Source organism: Homo sapiens, chromosome 15, assembly GCF_000001405.40.
Source record: "Homo sapiens chromosome 15, GRCh38.p14 Primary Assembly".
In the NCBI taxonomy this organism is placed as follows: Eukaryota; Metazoa; Chordata; class Mammalia; order Primates; family Hominidae; genus Homo; species Homo sapiens.
In genome coordinates, this window is record NC_000015.10 from 35,027,902 (window position 1) to 35,037,047 (window position 9,146).

Below are 9,146 nucleotides of genomic sequence, written 5' to 3' on the forward strand. Positions count from 1 at the left end.
GGCTGGAGAAGGCATATCTGGACTGCAAAGCTCAACTGATTATTTCTGTATTTTCTGAGAAGGCATAGGGTATTCTTTTCCTTTCTTCTTCTTTTTTTTTTTTGTGACAGAGTCTCGTTCTGTCGCGCAGGCTGGAGTGCAGTGGTGCGATCTCGGCTCACTGCAACCTCCGCCTCCTGCGTTCAAGCGATTCTCCTGCCTCAGCCTCCCGAGTAGCTGGGACTACAGGTGTTGGCCACCACGCCCGTCTAATTTTTTGTATTTTTAGTAGAGACGGGGTTTCACCGTGTTAGCTGGGATGGTCTCCATCTCCCGACCTCGTGATCCGCCCGTCTCAGCCTCACAAAGTGCTGGGATTACAGGCATGAGCCACCACACCCAGTCAGGATATTCTTACTTTAATCTCATATGGGAAAACAGGTTATGGAATAAGTGGATGACTTTCAAATAAAGCTGTCTGGTTAGAACTGGGAAATACAGGTCTGGGACTAAGATGATAATTCAAGGAATGCTGCATAGGGCAGAAGGTTCACCAGCTGTTTTCATTTCATCAAATGACAGAACAAATGCACATGTACTTAAGCTGAAGCCAGAATACCTTAAAAAGAATTTCCTGGAAGACTGAGGAGCGTAATGCAGAAGATAGTTTAATAGATTTCTTCAGAATTTGGAAAGGTTTGCCTTTATTCGGGCCATAGATTCTTATCGAGGGATGGGTTCAATAGCTAATAGCTTCTTAGTGTACTTTCCAGCCCCAGGAGTCAGTAATTTAGTGTATTTAAGTAGGAATCTCCCTGACATTTTTGCATTGAATATCAGAATAAATAGGTAATAGCATATCCATATAACTTGCTAACATGTCATTTAGGCTGCCTGAGGGCTGCAGTAAATTGCTCTGCCACATTTTTAAGTGAATATACAAATGCTGAGCATCAGTGATAAGATGATCCTGTGTTTTATTGTATTATTACTTTTCCCCTCCGGTGCTGAGAAATGAATTGCTTATGAGACGGAAAGGGGTATGGCTTAATAACTTGTAACCAGATATTCCATGCAGCGATGTGAACTTCCATGTCCTTATTTTAGCCCTCTTTCTTCCCAAGAACAGTAGAATCTCATAATGTGGGAAAGGGTGGTATAGTCACCCTTGAATATAAAATGCCTATAGGAATTAGGTACAAGTGAGAATAAAACAATAAAATGAACTTGTAATTGGTGACTATCTTATCCTTCTTCCTAAAAGTAGTGCCAAGAGACCACTAATAATAATGATATTAACATGAGGCTTATTACAAGGCAGTCACTGTCCTAAATGTTTTACTAATATTAACTTAGTGCTTACAACAACTTGTGAAGTAGATATAGTTATTATCTCCATTTTATGGATGAGAGAACTGAAACACAGACATTAAGTGATCACCCATGGTCACACAGAGTACTAGCTACTATGCTCAACTGTCTCTAATGAAATACTGATTTCCTGACTGTATTTGAGTTTGTTCAATACTGTGTTTCTAGGGAAGACTTAATCAGTTTTTGAGAAAACATGGCATTCAGTCCAATTTCAAATTAGGAAGATTCTTTGGCTCAATTCCTTTAGTCTTTAAAAAGTCCCTCAGAGACCTTTCTTGGATAATTAGTTGCAAACAATATCAATTATATCTAAGAGGACAAATTTAATTACTACAGAAGACCAATTGATTTTTTTAATTATCATTGATTGCTCAGTAGTTATCTCAGTGTAAAGATTTGTACATTCTAAATCTTTAATTTAGTTGGTTTATTAAGTAGCCTAAAGGTTGGCACCAAAGGAAGACAGGTGAATTTTTCCCCGGCTCTCTTATCTTCTCAATGAAAGTAAACACCTTCCTTGGAAGCCTAAGATAGTCAACAGCAAAAACAGCAACAACAAAACAACAACAATTAATATTAAATTATGTGTAGGATTTCGGGAGATTTTCTCTTTTTTGATTTTAGGGGGTTTATTGGAGGAGCGATACCCTAGTTTTCCTAATGGTGGGGATAGAGCTTGCTTTATTAGCTGTCTCAGTACCAGGATGCAGATTTTTTTGTGTTTGTTTTTGAGACGGAATCTTGCTCTGTCAGCCAGGCGGGAGTGCACTGGCACAATCTTGGCTCACTGAAACCTCCGCCTCCTGGATTCAAGTGATTGAGGCAGGAGACTGCCTCAGTCTCCCAGGTAGCTTGGATTACAGGCACCCGCCACCATGCCTGGCTAATTTTTGTGTTTTTAGGAGAGATGGGGTTTCACCATGTTGGCCAGGCTGGTCTTGAACTCCTGATCTCGTAATCCGCCCGCCTCAGCCTCCCAAAGTGCTGGGATCACAGGCGTGAGCCACTGCGTCCGGCCAGGATGCAGATTTTTTTTCTTTTCTTTCTTTTTTTTTTTTTGAGACGGAGTCTTGCTCTGTTGCCAGGCTGGAGTGCAGTGGCGCGATCTCAGCTCACTGCAAGCTCCACCTCCAGGATTCAAGCGATTCTCCTGCCTCAGCCTCCGGAGTAGCTGGGACTACAGGTGCGCGGCACCACGCCAAGCTAATTTTTGTATTTTTAATAGAGACGGGGTTTCACCATGTTGGCCAGGATGGTCTCGATCTCTTGACCTCGTGATCCACCCGCCTCGACCTCCCAAAGTGCTGGGATTACAGGCGTGAGCCACTGCGCCCGGCCTATCTCATCTTTAAAATGAGGATAATCACATCTGTCTTGCCTACAGGCCAAGTCTGTGACAGTACATTACAAAATATTAAATGTATGTAAATTCAAGGATCATTAATATTTAGAGATAACTGTGATATTTTCATTATTTTGCTATAAAAATATTGTCTGACACTAATTGTATCAGTAATCTACTGTGGCATAAGAAACTACCCTCTAAACTTATTGACTTAAAGCAACCATTTATTATTTCTCTCTTATAAGCCTACAAGTCAGCCAGATGAGTTCACTGGTCTGCATCAGGCTCAGATATACTTAGTTGGTCTTGCTTATGTTTCTGTGATCAGCTCGGGGGGTGGGCTGGTGCTGGCTGGTCTAGGATGGCCCCAGCTGGGATGATTTGGCCCTCTTTCATGTGGTCTCTCATTCTTTAGCAGGTAGCCCAGAGCTGTTCTCATGGCAAAGGAAGAGAAGGAAGTGAGAGAGTGCGTATAACACCTCTTGAGGCCTTGGCTATGAATGGGATCCCATCATGTCCCCCACATTGTAGTGACCAAAGCAATCTACAAGACAGCCTGATTCAAGGGGTGGACATGAGGACTAATGAATTTCACATCTTGATGGGAAGAGCTGCATATACACATTGTAAGGAGTAGGAAAAAGAGGAGCCATTTTGCCATGATCTACTACACTAATTGAGTCACATATTCAATTTAAGCCCTTGATTTTTAAAAATCTATTTTACTATGCAGTGATTTTTTTGAAATTTGCAATTTTTAGGTCACTGAGTTATCTATGTTTTAACATATATGCACATATTCACATCCATAGCTCACTGATTACACATAAACCTAAAATAAAACATTTGAATATATTTGCAATTATTGTGACCAGCTCTTACCTGGAAAAGCTGTTAGATGTATTCTTATTTATGTATTAACTCGCATTTGCTATATTAGCATTTACATAGGGAAATAAAACAAGCAGGAGGTCCAGTCAAAATAAGTGTTGGAATTCTGAGGGCTAACGCATTTTCCACTAGTGGATTTTCTGTTGCACTGAAATGATTAGTGCATTTCACTTCACTACTGATCCTATAAGCAGTCAGATTAAATACAGAGACAATATAAATAGAAAATCCAGGTCTTCAGCCCTGCCCTTGAAAATGAAAAGAACGAGTTCAGGAGATCAAGACCATCCTGGCTAATGTGGTGAAACCCCGTCTCTACTAAAAATACAAAAAATTAGCCGGGCACGGTGGCAGGCGCCTGTAATCCCAGCTACTTGGGAGGCTGAGGCAGGAGAATGGCATGAACCCGGGAGGCAGAGCTTTCAGTGAGCCGAGATAGAGCCACTGCACTCCGGCCTGGGCGAAAAAGTGAGACTCTGTCTCAAAAAAAAAAAAAAAAAAAAAAAAAAAAAAGGAAATGAAGAGAAGAATTTTGGCTTTGTTTTATTTTGTTTGAGCTAGAATTAAACCCAACTGGATGACTACATTGATTAAATTCCATGACTGTGTGTTTAACTCATGATTTCACTTGGATTTAGGCATTTAGTTGTATAATGCCAAACATCTGGATGTTTTTTCTCTAGTGCCAAGTATATAACTGTGTGGAAGAATGTTCCAGTTTTGGCATTTACTTGGCATCCTTATATACACTCTTCAACCGGACGTACCATGTCACCTGAGGAACTCCAGAAATTTGGGTCAAAAAGATGTGTATTTCTGATTAGGTTTAATTCTTAAAACTGTAAATATAAGCTATCTGAATACATAAGCATTTGGCAATATTCTGTAGATTCTAACAGCCCCTCTCTCTATGTTGGCGTCATGTCCAGGAACATTTTAGATATACTACCATAACATTTTCTAAATGACTGTATTATAATTTAATGTTATATTTGGCAAACACAACCTAAAATACAGTAGCTAATAGTGCAAGCTCATTTTACTTGCATATCATTGTAAATCACTTTCATGTAGTACTTACCAAATGTGTCAGGTTATTACAATCTATTTAATGACTTAATGTGTAAGATGCATTGTTCTTAAATTCAATTATACCCTTTGCACCTCTGGAATTAAGGTCATGTCAGCATTTCTTTTATATAAGTGCTTGGGTTTAGCAGTTTTTAACTGAGTTATAAAAGTTGGCTTCCAAATCAAGCCTTAGTAATAAAGGTCACTGCCTGAAGGAATTCCCCTCCTCTCCAAATTTAGTACATATAATGTTTTGGTGCAACTCCTGCTTTCTAAAATAATTTTTCAGGAAAAAATTCATTATAGTCTTCATATGGCAGAAAGGAAGCTCTTTCATTTTCTGTTTGCTTTATAAGACTAAGCTTTTCTTCCTTGCAAAGTGACAGTCATCTCTCTATCTGGCTTTTAATATATTCTCCATCTCCATTTTTTTATTGGTTACGTAACCTCAAGCTGTCATTTAGCCACTTTGTGTCTCAATCTACTCATCTGTAGAATGAATTATTGACAGTACCTACCTCACAGAGTTGTAGTGAGGATTAGATGAGATACTATACACATGTGTTTGGGAAAGTACATATTAATTGCTCAACAAAAGTTAGGTTTTATTATTATTAGATAAGAGATTTAGGCCAGGCATGGTGGCTGACCTCTGTAATCCCAGCACTTTGGGAGGCGGAGGCGGGCAGATCACTTGAGGTCAGGAGTTGGAGACCAACCTGACCAACATGGAGAAGTCCTGTCTCTACTAAAAATACAAAATTAGCCAGGCATGGTGGTGCATGCCTGTAATCCCAGTTACTTGGGAGGCTGAGGCAGGAGAATCGTTTGAACCCAGGAGGCAGAGGTTGCAGCAAGCCAAGATCTTGCCATTGCACTCCAGCCTGGGCAACAAGAGCGAAATTCCATCGCAAAAAAAAAAAAAAAAAAAAAAGATTTAGTGTGAGTCTATTCCTTATTAGAGGAACATTTGAAAAAAACAGGCTACTGAGGTAAGATTTGGCATTTACTGAGAGGTATGGAAGAAGTTATGGCTATCAGACAATCATTACCCTAATGTCAATAAATAGATATTTTTAATTTTAGAAATTAATATTAATATTTTTATTATTCATCTTCAGGTTTGCTTAGGAAGAAAACAAGATTTCCCTGAAGCAGTTGAATTAGACAGGCAATTAGCCCTGTGGTGTTGAAACATTACTGTATGTGTTGCTAATGAAACACTCTAGGCAATTCCACTCGGCCGCATGTTAATCACAAGAAGATGGACACATTTTCCTGGGTGCAGAAAAAAGCCACTCCCTTACTGACTCATTCTTTAAAATATATATATGTATAATTCACGGACAGATACAGTTTTGGGCTGGGCGCGGTGGCTCACGCCTGTAATCCCAGCACTTTGGGAGGCCAAGGTGGGTGGATCACAAGGTCAGGAGATGGAGACCATCCTGGCTAACATGGTGAAACCCCGTCTCTACTAAAAACACAAAAAATTAGCCAGGTGTGGTGGTGGGCACATGTAGTCTCAGCTACTTGGGAGGCTGAGGCAGGAGAATGGTGTGAACCCGAGAGGCAGAGCTTGCAGTGAGCTGAGATCGTGCCACTGCACACTCCAGCCTGGGCAACAGAGCAAGACTCTGTCTCAAAAAAAAAAAAAAAAAAAAAAAGAAAAAGATTCAGTTTTGCATTGACCAAATACCTAATTTGTTCCTGAATAACCTGCAAAGAAATTCTCCTGCAAAAATTGGAAAGAGGCAGATCCACTGACAAAAAATAATTTGTTTTCCTCTGTCTGTACTAACAGTAGAATCTCTGCTTTCTTAGTTGTCATGACCTCCTGTTTCTGCAGGGAACAGATCACTGTGTCAGGGACCGCACACAGAAGCATCATAGTGTGATTATACATGCCTGCAGAGATGCTCCAGCACTGATGATGCAAAAGAGTCCAAGAAATAAAATACATGTGATGGAATCCAAAAGCCCTCAGAAGAATTTTAATCAATATTTTTTAGAAAATTTTATTTCAATATATACTACTATCTAAACACTGAAAATTGTAATTCCCAATTCTATTAATTGACTTTTTCACATCGATTAAAATCTTTGGAGTTTTCTATTTGATCTAATTCAGGATAAATTTGATGTTTCTTTGCCTGACATAATCCAGATGACATTCATGCAACTACAATCTGTTGTTTCCACCCTGCCATTACACAAATAGAATCCTAGAACTGGAAAGTCCAACAGAATTCATTTTTACAAGTGAATATCAAATATTTAAACTACTCTGTTCACAAGGTTTCCTTTTCTTAGAAAAAGTTCACAGCCTTTGATGGACAAAAGTCTAAATCAGGGACAATGACAGCGTTAAGCCCTTGCCAGGCAGACACATCAAAGTTAAAGGAGCCTCCTGATATAGAGAAGATCCAGAATAAAACTTTGTGAAAGGAAATAAGGCTATACAGAAAAACCATCTAAGTATTGGTCCGTTTATTATTATTATTATTCTTATTGAGACAAGGTTTTGCTCTGTTGTCCAGGATAGAGTGCAATGGCACAATCATAGCTCATTGCAACCTCCAACCACTGGTCTCAAGTGATCACCTCATCCTCCTGCTTAGTTGGGACTACTGGCATGCACCGCCACACTCAGCTTGGTCTATTATTTATTTGATTCAAATATGTAAGAAAATGCAAGCATAGCTTAAAATAACCTGAAACATTTATTAGCAAAAAATAAGCAAGGTAGATGCCATTCAGGATTCTAGACAATAGGCCATTTATGATTTGCTTGACCATCAGAAATAAGTTATAGTAATATAAAATTCCTTTTCAAAACTCAATTAATGTTTAAAAGAGAGCACACAACATAGTTGATTGGGAACCTCTCAGTTGATATGATTTCTGAATAAATCGCATGTATCAGTTGACTAGAAACCATCACTCTCAACTATAAAATGGAGATTACGTTGTTCAGTGATCCATGTTACATCAACACCAATAAGAGAGGAAGACAGGGTGATGATACAGTATCTTAGAAAGTCATTACTACCATTTTATAAATTCCATTTAAACAAATTAACTGGGAAAGTAGCCAGCATCAGTGTAGATAACAGGCAGTACTTTTTTTTCTTAAAATTCGACCAAAATTCAACTATACTTCTTGAACTGTAGTTCAACCAGAAAGGAAAATGCAGTAGTTATAATAGAACAGTTTACAACAGAGTTGGAGATAAATGCCTCAAATCAAACAGATTTGCATAAGACTGCCTAGAGTCCACATGGATGGTTCCATGAGAGTGGCTCACCATGCAGCTGAGCTTCCTGACACTACTAATGCAGGGGTAAATTAATCAAGGAGCTTATTAATGAAGCTTAATGTTTATTGATCAACAGTGCATTGTTACCAATCCACTTAATGGCAGGTAGAGTGGAATTAGACAATTTGGCCAATTTAAGAGAATTGTAGCCGGGCGCGGTGGAACACGCCTGTAATCCCAGCACTTTGGGAGGCCAAGGCGGGTGGATCACGAGGTCAGGAGATCGAGACCACCCTGGCTAACACGGTGAAACCCCGTCTCTACTAAAAATAGAAAAAACTAGCCGGGCGTGGTGGTGGGCGCCTGTAGTACCAGCTACTCGGGAGGCTGAGGCAGGAGAATGGTGTGAACCTGGGAGGCGGAGGTTGCAGCGAGCGGAGATCGTGCCACTGCCCTCCAGCCTGGGCGACAGAGCAAGACTCCGTCTCAAAAAAAAAAAAAAAAAAAAAAAAAGAGAATGTAGACTCTATGAAAGGATGATGAACTGACTATGAAATCTAAAGAGGTTTTCAATGTTACATTCAGAGCATCTGATATTACATGGCTCCCTACTATTAACTGAAGAAAAATAATCTTAAAGCAAGTGACGGAGTAAAAAATGTGCATACACCTTCCCATCCCTTTCCTTGTGAAGTGTTTTCATCGTTTAAGTCTGAAGTCAGATGATTCTTCCTCTGTGAAGCTATCTTATTTTTTTTTTTTTTTTTTTTTTTTTTGAGACAGTGTCTCACTCTGTCGCCAGGCTGGAGTGCAGTGGCGCAATCTTGGCTCACTGCAACCTCTGCCTCCTGGGTTCAAGCAATTCCCCTGCCTTAGCCTTTCCAGTAGCTGGGACTACAGGCACATGCCACCATGCCCAGCTAATTTTTGTATTTTTAGTAGAGATGGGTTTTCACCATGTTGGCCAAGATGGTCTTGATCTCTTGACCTAGTGATCTGCCTGCCTCGGCCTCCCAAAGTGCTGGGATTACAGGCGTGAGCCACCATGCCCAGCCAAAGCTATCTTTTATTTATTGAGAGAAAGATGGCTTCTGTGACCCCAGATTATGTACATAGACTTCTAGCATTGTATTCATCCCATTGCATTCTAAAAATTTGTATATGTGTTAATTTCTCTGCTTATTAATATGATGAGAATTCCTTAGGAGCATGTCTAATTTTTATAG